The following is a 16,228-nucleotide window of genomic DNA, read 5'->3' on the forward strand; positions in this document are numbered from 1 at the left end:
AAACAGTGTGTGAATGCAGCAGTGAAAGCGCCAGACCTCTGAAAATCTGCAACCTGCTCTCCTTACCTGAGTTGTAAAAATTTAGGGGAAGGGTGTTAAGAATGGAGAATATGGAAATTTAAAGAAAGCGTGAGAGGGCTGAAATTCTCCCGTCTCTAAAAGCAGGTATTATTCTTCCTGACACTCCTGCCAGTGAGTGGATTCCATAGTTCAAAGGTCATTAACATGAAGAATTTCAACAGAATCTTGCTGTTTGTCTTTGAACAGGATATTCACAGTTGTGGAAGAAAACTCTAAGATCCACTATGCAGCTGAATTTGGTCAGTGTGGAGTGCCTAGAGCAGTATTATACATTGGAGGAACGTTTGTTGATAGGTCGAAGGACTACAGGTGACAAGTTGCTAGCACTTGTCCATCAGCCACTGGTGGTATTGAACGCTGTTATTTATAAACTGTGAACACAGATACATATTTTTTCTTTTCATGGGAATAGTCCTAGAGAATTTTAAGAACCAAGGAAGATGTCATCCCCAAACACACACACCTACACCCACACCCACGCCCACACACGCACACTTCAAGACTTAAGCTAAGCTTGGGTGCCAGAGGACAGTAGAATCAGATGAGATGGAAAGCTGTGTTTGATGCACCCATATGCACCCACAGGAAGCAGGAACCCAGAAGTTCCAGTTTCTGCTCCACACGAGTGATCTGGGGTGGTCAGCATCCAGCCAGTCTTTATTCAGTCTTCTTGAACTCTGACCCAACTGTGTGTCCTTAGCCAGATACAACAAATAACCTGTCTAGTTCTGATTCTAAAACCAGGTGGACAGAGAATATCATGAGTGTAGAATGTGAAATTACAATCTTCAATATCAAAGGGAGAGAGTACACCTTTTATGAGATGTCAGTTGTTTTTTAAGAAAACTGGAATAAAGGACACACACCTTTATGTAAATGACAGAGTTGAACACATAACTATCCTTTCTGCAATATTCAGAGAGGAGACTAGCAACACTTTCAGTAGCATTAGCTAAAGAGTGTGTGTGTTTGTGTGTGTGTGTGTGTTTTGCACTGTGAAAAACCAGATGGCATGTGATATAGCGTAAGAAACATTGGACTTGGAGTCAAGACAACTGAATTTTAATCCCAACTCCTCCCAACTCCCAACTTTAATTTCCAAAGTTGTCACTATACATACAACTTTGGAGAATTGCCTACCCTTTCCAATTCTTGGTTTCTTCATTTCTCAAAGTAGGCATGGTGCTAATTCATCCCCAATGCCCCTTCTGGCTATATAAGGTCAGCCCTGCATCGCTCGCCTTGGGCACATCTTTATTTAATCAAATTAAGAGCATGTTACACTGATTTTCCTAGATTAAACAGAATGTACCCAACTTGATATAGGAAAACTTAGTGTTTTCAACAATCTTACAGGAAGCAAAAGCCTCCTAACTGGGTGGGAATAGAAGGAGCTAACCACAAGTTTGAAGGTTGGAAGGTTAAAGCATGTTCTATTTTTCATCACATTCCCTGAAGAAAACATCCTATGGGACAAAAACTTCTCATTCTGCTTGTAATGGTATTTGGCACTTGAGTATTTCCTCACACATCTACAATATGTATTATCATGTTTTGAATTTTTTTTTTTTTTTGAGATGGAGTTTTCTCTTTGTTGCCCAGGCTAGAGTGCAATGACATGATCTTGGCTCACTGCACCTTCTAACTCCTGGGTTCAAGCGATTCTCCTGCCTCAGCCTCCCTAGTAGCTGGGATTACAGGCACCCACCACCACCCCCAACTAATTTTTGTATTTTTAGTAGAGGGAGGGTTTCACCATGTTGGCCAGGCTGGTCTCAAACTCCTGACCTTGGGTGATCCACCCGCCTTGGCCTTCCAAAGTGTTGGGATTACGGGCGTGAGCCACCTCACCCAGCCAAAAATTGGTATCTTTCTTAATTATTACCATGGAACTTAGAAGGAAAGGTTGCAATTTATTGTTGACTGTGTGTGCATGTGCATGTGTGAGTAAGGAAAGAAGAAAAAAAAGAGGAGGAAAATCAACAAAAAATGGAGAAAGCATTAATTACTGTTCATTTGTGTAGAAAGTTTCACTTCATTTTGACAATTCATTTTGTTATCTGTGATCATCATGTCCTTGATTCCTATATAATTGAAAGCTAACTCTAGAATGCTCTAACTTATATTCTAATACAGCCATAGCAAAGACGAAGCTTTATTTGGTGGTTCTGTAATCAACATGTAATTTTACGTAGCCATAGGTATGAATAATTTTTCAGTGATGTGCCAAAAAAGTGTTCCTCAAACTTGTTTTTTAGTTAGAAGAAAAATCTGCAGTTCTCGTGTGGCAGACATCCTATGTTACATATTCAGCTCTTGTTTTTCAATAGGAATTTGGCAAAGCCATTTATAATTTTTTTCAAAACATGAGAAAAAGTATACTTTTATTCCATGTACATTCTGCCCTTTAAGCCTCTAAATTTCACTGCTTGGAATAAATTAATAATGTTATGATATTAATAGAATTTTAGAAATATTGATAGAGAAATATTTTTTAATCCCATTTTAAAATAAGGATTTCTCCAAATTCCTATTCAGATATGCTCATTATCTCTATCTTTCAAGGTACAGAGAAATATTCTAATTCAACCAAATTTACTCCTGGAGCTTAAACTTTTAATTTCTGATATAATACTACTTTATCATTTATACCATAATGATACAATTTATCAGAGGAAAAATATTATGAAAGTTTAAGAAAACATTGGAATTCTAATATATCAAAAGACTGTTTCCTCTAAACCTATTGCGTTGTGTTTTAATATTGGGGAGCTTTTCACTTATTTAACTAAATTCAAAATAGCAATTTCCAACAAAGACCCAATTCAAATTAATTCCATAAAATGCACATTTTATTCTGTATCATGAAAAAATATCCACATTTAAATAAAGTGTGAAAAAAAGCAAAGTTAGTCCTCCCTGATGAAATACAGTTTATTGTGCTGAAACCCAGATTTCTTTTGGGCTAAAAGCTTCCACCTGCCAATTCACTTTTCAAAATGACCATTTTTTGAGAACAAACGTTAAATAAAGTGATAATCACCACAAACTTCCCAGAAGCAACTGAATTTTGATCACAATTGTTTCATAATTGACCCTAAAGTCACAAAGTTAAAATATTTTCACACATCCTGTCAGCAGTCAGGTGATAGGTCAACAGTACATACAAAATTTCTATATTATACATTGCAGTATCTTTGTTTAAGTAGAAAAAAGGATCTGCTTAGCATGAATCAGATTTTGAAAAAAGCCAACAAGTACTGCTTAGCATAATGGTATTAAAAACATCCCACATGAAATTTTTGCATTGTTTCCTTTGTCAATGCATGAATCAATTATTTCTGGTGAATTAACCCTTAAAGGCAGAGGCATTTTTAATACCCCCAATATCTCACCAATATGGTTGCAGTGACAAAAACATTTAAGAAGTTGCAAAATTAATTCCCATAGTAACATTAGTGTTATAGTAGAATTTACATTGTAGTATACAAAATGCCACAACTAGTGTAAACAAAGTCACTAGAACATAGACTAAAAAGAACTCTATAATTTTCAATATATCGTGAATCTGCACATTTTGTGTTGTTTGAGTACCAAGCACTTCTAAAAGTCATTGCTCTTTCAACAAACTACAATGGATGTTTTAGGGTAAAAAAATGGTTCTAAACTGGTTTCCACTTTTCATAACAATCACTTAAGAAATCTGTTCCTAATATGAAATGCATATTCCCCCTTGCTTTATTAACTGTGAACAGGTTCTAAGGTGGAAGGCGACTGCTTGATGGAAGATGCTGGTGCAGTCAACCCTAAGGAGATGAAAGTGAACACTACACTTATTCCCTCTCTGATAAAGGGTCATAAGAATAGCAATGTGAAAACATCCCTGCAGAGGTCAAAAAAGCAATTCTGACAACTGTTTTTTCCTGAAAATGAAATAGGCTAATCTTGATTTTAAATGAAAGTGCGTTTGGATTTTGTGTAAGTTGACAGTTCATGGCTGTGACATAATATACCAATATTAAATACTTAGGACTATCAAACACTGTAACATGGAATTATAAATGAATCTTTGTTGTGATTTTGCATAGTTTACTAGCTAGGTATTCTTCCTGTTTGCAGTCTTGGCTTCATCAGGAATCTTTCCCGCTATAATTTGGTTGAAAAAGTTGAGGAGCAAATGAGGGGTCCATGGCAACAATGGTTCTAGGAACAACAATAATCTTTATGTTGCTTTTTGCCAAAGTCCAATTTCTCTAACTCAATGGAGAGTCTGACCAAAAGCTTTGGATAGAGGGAAGTGGTTACATTTTATATTATGAAATATGATTTAGCAGAGAATGGGGATAAAATTACTTAAATTAGTTATTATGGATACTCAATCTGGTTTATTGAAGCTTCAAGGTGAATATTTTGGCTTTGACTGCTTTGGTCATTCAACAGTCAGTGATTCCGCATGAATGAGAGAGAGTGATCAGATCTTTTTGTTTCCTCCCATCAAAATGCAGCCCAACCAGCCAAGTGCTTAGGGGATTGGGTTTGTAGGTCAGAACCAGAGGTTCTAAACTCATTGGTTGGTGGGAGAACACTTATTTCTAAAGAAGGCCCCAGCATTTGACAAGCTTTCAAACTGCTTCCAAAGGTTTTTGTTAAAACCTTAATGACAATGTGTCATCTTAAAAACAAATAAACAAAAGCTATTTAAAAGGCACCACATACAGAAAACTCATTAAAAGGAAGCAACTGCTGTCCCTTCTCCACACTCCTTTTTCCTCAGTTATAACTCTGGTCATAAGCTGCACTTTTTGGTTTACTCTTCTTTGACCAAGTGCCTTTACAAGTAGTACAAGACATGACCTCATTTAAATAATCATGCAGTGGTAATGTAAAAGCCAGGATGGAAGTGAGCTGACTATAAAAAGCTTTGGATGGTGTCAGTGGGGTCCTTCACAGTCATTATTTTAAAAGTAGGATTCTTCCTTTCTATGATTACCTCTGGCTCAGTTATTAGCCAAGTGAAAACAAGATGGTTTGGGCTGAAGATTCCAGCATGTAGTGTTGTAATATCTTGTTTTTTTCTCCTTATCTCAAGACACTTGCTTTAGAAATCTCAAAGGGTAGAACAAATAAATCACATTCAGAAAATTAACATTTTTTCATTAGAGAAAATTATTGAAACTCTCTGAAGTAAATATACATACTGTGAGCTCATTAATTTTGGAAATAAGGATACAAGTTGCCATTCTAAACAGAAATAGTTCATTTGGATAATGTATTTAATAGTGGTTTGGCCAAGAAGCCAACATCAGTGCAATCAATAAAAATATCTGAATAATCTACTTAAAACCCAATGAGTCAAAAAATAAATTTTAAAAATAAATTCTGGAGTCTCATCCAAATCCCACTATTAAAAAGAAAAAGAAATTATAGAAAAAAAATCCTGAATGACTCTTGCTTTCCTTAACCATTAGGCATTACCTCTTTAGGTTAAAATTCAACTGGAAAAGAAAATGTTGATACCAGTGACCATATATCAAACATACCACATTTGACAGTTTACTTTGGCCGATGTCTTTCAACTGTTAGGAGAAGTAAAGGAAAATTCCACTGTTGGGACAGGGCACCTTTTGCTTAAGACAGTATGATTTCAAACTCTGTCATTGACTCTGACCTATCAAGAAAAACCAAACATTTACATTCACATTATCGAGTGCAATTTTTAAGAATTATTTTAAGAAATCTTTAAAAGTATGTGTCTGGAAAAACCTAGACTAGATGGTTGAACTAGATAGTTCTTGTAATGTCAGTATTCTACAAAATAAAGGTTTCTCCCTAAGGTCTGACTGCCTGTGTTAGAAACTCAACTTTACCATGTAACAAGTATGCCATCCTGGACAAGTTCCTTAACCTATACCTTCATGGGGTTGCTGCAAGAATTAAATTTGATAACCTAAATAAAATGCTTATCATAGTGAGACCTTGGTAAATATAAGCTTAGTTAACTTATTTAACTTCTAAGCCTAAGAGTAAAGAAGCAGATAGATTCTAATCAGTCTTTTCTCAACCCTTGCCTTCATCATCTTTCTAGTTCCCAGTCCAAATCCTCAGTGGTCCTGACCCTCATAAAGAATGCAAACACAGGGGTCTTATCCTACAAATGAAGTGATAGAAAATCTCAAGTCAGAATATAGGCCAAAACTTACAACACATAGCACATAGTTAAGAATTTTGTTATAAGAGTGTCTGCCCATGTGGAATCATATATCTTGAACAGGTCATGATTATTTTAATATAAAAAGTTGAAGGATGAACTACTCTAGTTTTTATTTGTATAAATTTAAGGGGTACACATTCAGTTTTGTTACATAGATACATTGGTGAACTACTCTATACCTTGGCCACTTACCAATTTTTTCACAAAATTGAGAATTTCTGCCAAGCAGTATGATTAAGTAGAAATAAGAAAAATCACAAAATTTACCTATCTTTCTCTTCTCTCTCTCTTCTGTCAAAGGAGCTTCATTCTTTCCACGTTTATTTGATTTGTAGTTCTAAATTCCCACATAAGTATGAAGTTTTATGCTTACCTGCCACTAGCAAACTATGCCTCTCTCCATTAACCTCTGACCAGATAAATCTCTTCTAAAACCTAAAAGAATATTTAGATAAAAATCACATCACCGTCAATCCCTGAAATCTCTTCTAAAATCTAGAAGAATATTTTGATAGAGAGTACATCGTGGATACTCTTCTATGAAAGAATGAAAAAGTGATCACTTGTCATAATGTGATTTTCACCTGCAAGAAAGATAATTTTTTCATTGACCAATAGCATGTTGATATAAGGAAGCAACAGCTGTTATCTTTGTTTTCTTATTTATTGGCGGGGAAATGGTACCATTTGGTACACTAGGAAAGGTTAACTTGCCCATAATTACACTTCTAGTTTGTGGTAAAGCTAAATTCAGAACACAAGACAAAGCTCAGATACTAAGACTTAAGGTGTTTTCCAAAAGACTGTTTTTGTCTTTTCCCCCTTTCCATTAAGATGAGAAGAGAAATACTTTTACACCTAATAGAAAAAATTATAGCACAACATTCACATGATTATAAAATATTCATATTTGAAAGTTATCCATGTATGATATGCACATTCTAGATAAATGTTCTCATTACCTACATGGAATTTTGGAAAACAAACTCATAGAAAATTGCTTAAAAGATAAAAATTATACAAGATAGTGGAATTCATTAGAAATATGATGAATAATTTCACAAATATCTGCCACTGCACACTTCAAAACAGTCACTGCTCTGAAGGCTAATATTAAAAAAAATTCCAAATGACTTTAGCTATTTAAAATAAGATATCAAATGGACCAGATATCACAGGGTGAACAAAATCTCCTTAAACAGAAGGGAAAATGTGATTTTCATTTGGGCTCCAATAAGGTTAATTTTGATAATGGTACTTTAGTTAGCGGTCACAACTAATTTTCCTATTAAAGTGTTGAGTACAACAGAAGTACACATTTTTTCTAGAGCAATTTCAAACCCCAGATTTTCCATTTTTTTCTCTGATATACATAAAGTTGTTTGTAAAAAATACTTAGGACATTTTTAGTCCTATACTTAATGCAAGATGCAACTAGTGTCATAAAAATTTTCCATTTTAACAATGAAGCATGGGCCTGTATTCAACCACGTCATTCAATTCAACCACTGTGCCTGAACCATTTTCAGTACCATTCATATAGCTTTGGTATTGTCATCTGGCTTTTGTGTGCCTATTTGCTTTTTATCATAATCTCTTCCATCTGCTAGATCACATTTAGTGCAACAATATCCTGATACAGACTGATAAAACCTGCCATTATGATACATCACTCACATTTCCATTCTAATTTGACTTTTGCTATTTTGTTACAACCACCTGTCGAGGATACAGCATCTGATCTTACCTATTAATAACATCATAGAAAAATATTGAAGGTGTGTAAATTGCTTTGGAAAATGTTTGGATTTCTAATACATATCCATTTACTCCTATTAATATATTATTTAGAAATATAATATTAAAATTTTTATTCTGGATGCACCAAGAGCATCTATACAGTGTAGGAATAAAACATGCAGTTATCTGGTCCTCAAAAGAGCATCTACTGTCTATGTGCTAGTTGAGGCAACATAGAACATGATTTTATCATTATTGCATGTATTAAAGCAAATATTCTCCCTTCATTCAAATCTGAGTAAATTCAACTGCTAAGATTTGTGGAATCTGGGAACCTAAAAGACTACTCTATATACAATGTTTGCTGAAAACATGCATTCCTGCTGAAAACAGCAGGGTGCATTCAGCACCTCTTCATATCATGCACACAGAGAACAGAGATGGCTGAAAAGACACTATGATAACTGCACCATAATTAAACAATTGATACTTTCCCTCCTTCCTAACAATCTGGAGTAATTCAAAACCATTATGTTTCTCACATATATGAACAATAACATTGTAGGTCGATTAGGTGAAACTCTACGTCAATGTCAGAACACAGTAAATATTTGCACCACTAATATGCAAAGCCATGAATTAGAACTTCAAATCATCATGTTGTTCACAGTCATTCTTTTATAGCTTTACACCAATAGTTAGTTTTGAAGCACTGGCTAAAGTTAAACTAACAACTTCTATAATCAGATTCTTATTTTAACCACACATTCACCTTTAAAAGCTTAAGCCAAACTTGACTTAAACAAATAGAAAAATACCCTGAAATTCAATAAATGTCAGAGGTCACGAAAAAGATATCATCCTCACCATGAAAGCAACAAAATTCCAATTTCAAGGCTGATTCTTTACTCCATAATTATTTCATTTTCTTGTGTTTGTGGTAGGTAGATATTGTAGCATTACATGGAGACGTGTTCCCCTGAAAACTTCCATTATGGTTAATGGAAGTTATACGCATAAAGAAAGGAAAATGGAGCCCATGGCTCATATGTTTTGAGACTCCTAGATTAAAGAGGCACATCTTGTGGGCATGTGAAGTTCAATAGAAATTCTAAAATAGCAACTGTTTTTATAAATCACTGTTTTGCACTTCTCAAGTCTGAATGTGATAACATGTCTTTCAGTTCTAGTGGCTTTGGTTGGGAATACTGGGAGATAGAAAAGCTCATACAAATGGGTATAATAGATCAAGATATCTCCTTCGATTTTGCCATCATCTTTTGCATATTGTTAACATATATGTACAGATGGTCCCGTAATATATAAATTACTCACACATTTTTTTCAACTTCATGCAAACACTAACTCCCCTGCTCCCCATATTAAATGCTGTGCATGCACTGACTGAAAAGTATGCTTCCCTGAACGACTTCCTAAAATACAGTTTAGTCAAAAGAAATAAGTTCTCCTGGGTTCTTACAAGTGAATGTGTATTTTATTCTCAATCCTTATCATTTAAGGGACTAGCTATATACAGGACAACTCTTTGTGACTTTTTTTAAAAACTTGATAATAGGCACTTTCTACAAAGAGGATTTGAATTCAAAAGACTAAAATTCAGTCTTTAGTATCCCCCTTTCACAAATGGACCTGCCTGAGCCACAATAGCTTATTGAATCAACTCAGCAGAAGTCCAGCAGTAGAACTGTGTGCAAAAAGCTTTAAAAAACTATAACCACAATAAAATGATAGAAAAGCAGTTATCTGAGTCGAGCAACTTAATGTCTACTTCTTGGTTGGTTGGTTTGTTTGTTTTACCACATTTCATGTGTTATCACTACAAACACTAGGATTCATGTGTCAACAATCCGTACCAGTGTTTCATTCTTTCTAAGTTATATACATGCCACAAAAATTTATCTATCTGTTTACATTCTTTTTTATTTTATACCATAATAGTTAGCATTTTGATATGATTACTTAAATGCTTTATTTTTTGTATGTTTCTTTGCTAACAAGCCTTTCAATGTCACTCTTGAACATGTTTTGGAAATACAAATTTAGAGCATTTATCAGCTTTGGAAATTCAGCATCTCTTACATGAATTGTCAAAAGGCCCTTATACCCTGTGGTGCAGTGTTTCTATAATAACATACTCTATATTAATAGTTTAGTATTTATGATGTTGATAATGTCAGCTTACAAGATGGCAGCTGTTCTCCAAGAAGGAGGGAGTAGGGATTTCCTTACATAAGAGCTAATGATTACTATCTAAGTATAATGTTAAAAAACGAGAGGTATAGTTGATCAAAAATGTAATTCATGCACAAAACCCATAGCAATAAGTTTTCAATATCCCACACTCTTATCTGACTTAGGCAACTAAACAGTCATTTAAATGGAGCAAACACTGCCTGTAGGGGAAAAGAACCTAACACTAAGTTACAGAAAAATATCCTATGGAAAGAGATCATAACATGGTACTAATAGTTTAAAAGACTGAACTCTTCCTTGGCATTAATCTATACTTTTAACTTAACAGAACAGTGAGAAAATGATAGCTCGATATACATACTCAGCCTGAGATCAAATTTGTCATGGCAACATTGGCAGGTTGGACCCTGATTCTTCAAATATTACATTGCCTTGGGTAACAAAAATCATACTCTTTTATTATAGAATAGAGATTATAAATAAATGTAAAGTGTGCATGCAGTCAACTGCATAATATACAAGCAATATCTATGTTTTTAATCATCATCTTCTTTGGCAGGCCAGAATCCAGCTGGACATGCAATATTTACATATCAAAATCCATGTGTGGTCATCATCTTGAAAGCAAGTGAAAATATATATATGTATATACTGTATATACACACATATGTATATACTGTTTTAATATATTAACAAATATATATGTATATATATTAAAAGTGGATTTCATCTTTGTCAGATTCAGGTGATTCAGGCCTTGAGACACTAAAAATATCCTGACATGGTATCTGGGGGGGTACTTGGAGTGGCATTTGGGATTTGGGAGATGAGGCCTGGGGTACGCTTTTTTCCGACAGTATTTTTAAAATTTCTGCCACCTGCTTTTCTAGGGCAGTCATTCTGCAGCTGAGCAGCTGGATGTCCTCTTTGAGTTCGTGTTTGACTTCCTGCAGTGTGGTCTGTAAGGCCTGCTCGGGGATGGGATAAAAGGGGTGCTTGGCATCAGCCTGGATGGGACTGTGCTCTAGCGGACTTCGGGCCTCCCCAGCCTTATCCAAACGAAGGTCACTTTTTGTAATTCCACTGTCACAAGAATCTGTTTTTCTTAGTGGGTTTTTGGTCACACTGTTCTCTGAATCACTGCTCTTGGGGTCCTCAGACAATAGCCCCATTGACTCAGCTTTAGTGACATTATTCCAGTCTTCCTTTTTCTCCTCATGGGCTCCCATATTATTCTTGAGTCGCAGCCACCCTTTTCCATTTCCATTCTTCATTCTTATTGGGCTGTTGACTTTGAGACATTTTTGGTCAGCACCGCCGTTGGGCTTGAGTTCCATGGCATCACGGTTGTTCTGCTTAAGGGATTCACTGGTTTTCACATAGGCCAGAGACGTCTGAATGGGAGTAATCTGTGACACAGTCACCACGCTGGTTCCGGTGATGGAGGCTCCATTCTGTAAGGAGCGGCTCTCTACCTGGAGTTGGTTCCTCTCAGGGTCACCCTGTGTTGAGCCCTGATTCCGCAGCTCCTTCTGCTGCTTGAACTTCTGGAAGAGCTTTCTGACTGGGTGGTCCACGGGAATGCTGAGGGTCACCTCATTCTTCTGCCGGAGGCGCTCCTCCTCCTCTTTCTTCACATCACTGATCTTACGAAAGATGATCTGTGGAACGGGAGAGATAGTCACAGCCTGATTATAAAAGCAGATGGATTAACAGTTGTATAATACTATGCTGTATGTGCTTTGTGTTACAAAGAAAACCCTTGAATATTTGATAAGATTATTTCTCAAGAAAAAAAAATTTAAATACCATTTATGGAATTGCATTTATGAAATTTATGGATGCAATATGGCTTAAACCCAACATAGAAATGTTGGCTACTTACTTACTTAGTTCTAGTCCCCTACATATCAGAGGGAGAATTACTCAAGAGACAACTGAATAGAGAGGTACTTTGCTTCTAGTTTATGTTCCCCTTATATTGCCGTTAGTAGGAAATACACACATACATACACACATACATATTTGTATATGTATATATGTGTATACATATATAAGGAAATACATATTTATCCCTTAAATTTCTCTGTAATGAATTGCCACTTTTGTATGATTTTCCTTATTGTGTAGAAATAAGTTTCAAAACCATTTTTAATATTATCCTCTGTTGGCCGGGCGCGGCGGCTCACGCCTGTAATCCCAGCACTTTGGGAGGCCGAGGCGGGCGGACCACGAGGTCAGGAGATCGAGACCACGGTGAAACCCCGTCTCTACTAAAAATACAAAAAATTAGCCGGGCGCAGTGGCGGGCGCCTGTAGTCCCAGCTACTCGGGAGGCTGAGGCAGGAGAATGGCGTGAACCCGGAAGGCGGAGCTTGCAGTGAGCGGAGATCGCGCCACAGCACTCCCGCCTGGGCGACAGAACGAGACTCCTTCTCAAAAAAAAAAAAAAAAAAAAAAAAAAATTATCCTCTGTTTGGGTATCAGATAGTAAGAATTCCAGGCTATAAGTGTACTGAAAACTTACACAGTTTAGCAAATGGCATCTGGGTTGGGTGAGGGGAGAATTTAAATTGATTTATGCGACCCTAGAAGGCAGAACTAGAATTTGTGAGGAAAAGTTTCCGGGAGGTAACACCAGCTTAGTACACAGACTTCATTGCAAACTGCTCTCTATTGAATAAACTGCCTCGAAAACTCATGATCGTTCTACCACTAAAAGGTTAAGATAGAAGTATGTTTTCCATATGACATGTTCACTGGGTTGGAGGTTGAACTCTTCAATTTCCCAGATTCTTTACATTTTAAACATAAAATTAAATACATAGTACAGGTGAGGGGTTAGATATCCACAAATAAATGAGCATCATTTTATTTAAAATGTATTTTGAAGATAATAATGGGAAGAACTTATGATAACCCCATCAGAAGAAATAAAAAATGTTGGCTATATAAGAAATTGCCACATATATTATCAGAGTTGGAAGTAAAGTTAATAAGTGTGAGATTTTTGCTCAGAGTCCTGAAAAGCAAAGTAACTGCAGGTGAAGGCTGTAAGGAAAATCAAAAAAGAGTTATATTAGATAAGGCACTTTCAGAATCAGACAATTTTATCACTCAAGGAAAATAACTTACCTTGATCACCCTCTGTAGGTTGTTGGTTAGAGTAGAAACACATGTGAAGCACGTGTTCTCTAACCCATAACAGACACTCAGCATACGTTGGTTCTCTCTCCTTGAACTCTCATAAAATACTCCTATCTGAAACCATTTACTATCTTTTGAATATTCAGCAGCTGCCTGGAGTAACATATAATCATTGATTTTACACCAAAAACCAATACTACTGATGGTCACCGTTAACAGAAAAGCCAGAAAGATAGGAATTCCCCTTCCAGGTAAGAGTACATTTTCTAAAATGAGATTGATGCACTAAATTCAGTTTATCGAGTGGTACTAATTTGTATTTTGAAATAAATTCAGTAACTGTCTGTAAAGGCCAACATATTTTTTCTTGTTAGTGGCACATGAAATTGGGTCTTTTTAAAATATGTAATAATAATCTCAAATTCTGACATCAAAGCTCCAGCAGTTTAATTAGAAGTCTTTCAAAGGGTTGACACAATTCTTATGCTTCCCAAGTAAACATAGGTTGTACTAAGTCTTCAAGATATGAACATTCTTTAGAACCAGACAGACCCAGACACAGGAACGCAGATACTATTTTCCTATTTCAGCCCCTTTTTGAAAAAGTACTCACTTTGATTCTATGGGTGGACATGAGAGGCCTAATATGAATGATTTTCCACATCCCCCTTCCCACTCACCACTTACCCTTTTTATTTTTTTAAGGTGGTTGTTTAGCCTAGGATAGACATAGTGTTGGCTCGATGTGGTAACTGAGAGCAGCCTTCACATTTGGGAAAATGGAACCGTTTCAAAGTCAGTGGAGTGTGACAAGTGGTAGGCACACAGGAAGGTCAGGTAAAATGCAGGTCCCCTGTGCAATATTTGGGACATACTAAAAACATCAGACATTATAAATCTGAATTGGACATATGTATCCTTTAACAAATATTCTTTGTTTATTCAAATTTTAATTTTACCTGGGAGTCCTGTATTTTTGTTTGCTAAATTTGGCAACCCTATTGGTATATAATAGACAAGGACATTCCTATTTTGTAATGTCTACATGTCCTGCCATGCAGAGACTATAATGAAAGATTTGGTATTACTGACATCTGAGAATTTGTGGGCACCTTAGGCAAGAGCCTTATTTGTTTAGATCTTTGAATATAATGGCTAATAATTGCTTGCAATTATTGTGTGCTTACCAAGTTCAGGGTGTTTTGTGTTGTAAGACTGTAACATGTCCATGTAAAATATCAATAAAATAAATCTTTCCCAGCTTCCTTGACCACCAGCTGCCCCCCACCCACCCCCAACCAAGAACAAACAAAAGTGTTTGAATTGCTACTATTTAGCTAGAAACAAAGACTCCAAATACCAAAATACATAGAGCAAAGGGGGTCTTGGCACAGGGCTTGATTTCTCACCTATACTAGGGGACAAATGAGACAGAGCTGGATCTGTATTTTGCTGTCGAGAAATGTAAAAGTAACTGGGAAAGAGAAAGAATCGAGCTCTGGTACATTAGATGACAGAATTCTGAGTATTGCACATTGTTCCTTTCCCCCTTTTTACGCCCGGGAGATAGGAAGTTAAGTAATTTTAAACATAGCTCCCTTGAGGTTTGAGGGTACTTATGACCAACAAGACTGGTCCTGAATTGTCATCAAGTTTGCAGAACAGCAGGACCTACACATCCAATCTCAGGAGCCAGCAATGCACAGCGGAAAAACATGCTCTTTAGAGAGCCAAAGTTCCCCTCTTTGCTCCTTGCCCTTCACTTCCTTTATAGCTCAGAGGGGTACTGGCTAGGATCCCCTAGAGCTCAGGAAGCCACTGAACGTACTCATTTGTGAATTCAGTCTGCTAGAAGCCAGGCAAGGCAAAAGCACTGTGTGAGGTGGGAAAGGTTATTGCACCCTGTAGGTGATCTGCCACCAGGGACTTTCAGGCCATCAATTATGCCACACATAAAGAGAGCCAGCAGTTGGACGTGACTAGCTCAAAAGCCAACACTCTGAGGAGTGGCTACAGGCCCTCCAGATCTCAGACACAAGCCCTAGGTCCTGAAGTAGATCCCCCTTTCTCCTTAGCAGCAGGGCCTGCTGACAATCTGCAGCCCAGTGAGAGGAGAAGCAGGTGCAGGAGGAAGGTTAGAAAGAGGGGGTCATGAGGCGATTTATCACCCAATCTATACAATTGGAACTGACACCTAACCGCAAACAGTAACACTTGGATTTGGTCAACTACTTATTATATCCAGGTTTTTAAGAGGTAGTTTTTTTTAAAAAAAATACTAGTTTGAATTGACTTTATAGGATTAGAATAAGACAAATTGACATTTGTTTTATTTTACTTTTGACTATGGAACAAAATAATGGCATTGTAAAATGATAATAAAATATCTGTATATAGCAAAGTGGTCACTTCCACACACGTATTTTCTCATTTAAGTGTCATGGAATGAGAACATTTTACGAGCTAGGACCTATTATTCTCTACTGTAGGACACAGGTCATATTATTCTTTTATCACAGAGAAGCAAATTGAGGCATAAAGAGTTTAAGTGGTTTCCCTTAGGTCACACAACTGTGTGTCCAGGATGCAAATCCAAGGGGTCAGATTCCAAACAGTCTTAACCATTCCACTCTCCTGCTCCTCAAGGTAACTTTTATACTTTCTCCTGGACTCCGTGAAAACTCGGATAGATGAATGGGTGAAGTAGGAAGTCGTGCAGCAGTTTCACACCCAGCAGGTCACCCTTCACAGAGCGTTTGCCATGGAGAACCATCCCTGAAAGCAGTGAATTGAACACAATTGAAGCTGTATACTTGCTGGGAAAGCGGTAGCCTA

General features: G+C 36.6%; 1 protein-coding gene across 2 annotated transcripts in view, besides 1 other annotated feature; it reads right to left on the minus strand.

Annotated features, from left to right (window-relative positions):
- The window catches only part of KCNH5 (potassium voltage-gated channel subfamily H member 5), a 345,995-nt gene continuing 332,682 nt past the window's right edge, over positions 2,916–16,228 (minus strand). For both annotated transcript variants that reach the window (NM_172375.3, NM_139318.5), the window contains one exon: positions 2,916–11,907. In NM_172375.3, the coding sequence (NP_758963.1) occupies positions 11,894–11,907 (14 nt within the window). In that variant the 3' untranslated portion in view covers positions 2,916–11,893. The remainder of the gene's footprint in view (positions 11,908–16,228) is intronic.
- Positions 14,748–14,917: an enhancer, noted in NCBI's record as "experimental_34896 CRE fragment used in MPRA reporter constructs". NCBI's record gives its function as "activates a minimal promoter by MPRAs in K562 erythroleukemia cells, with activity observed for both the introgressed and non-introgressed 14:63178099 variant alleles {active_cell/tissue: K562}" and the evidence as "EXISTENCE:reporter gene assay evidence [ECO:0000049][PMID:34662402]".

This window comes from Homo sapiens, chromosome 14 (genome assembly GCF_000001405.40).
Source record: "Homo sapiens chromosome 14, GRCh38.p14 Primary Assembly".
NCBI classification, from domain to species: Eukaryota; Metazoa; Chordata; class Mammalia; order Primates; family Hominidae; genus Homo; species Homo sapiens.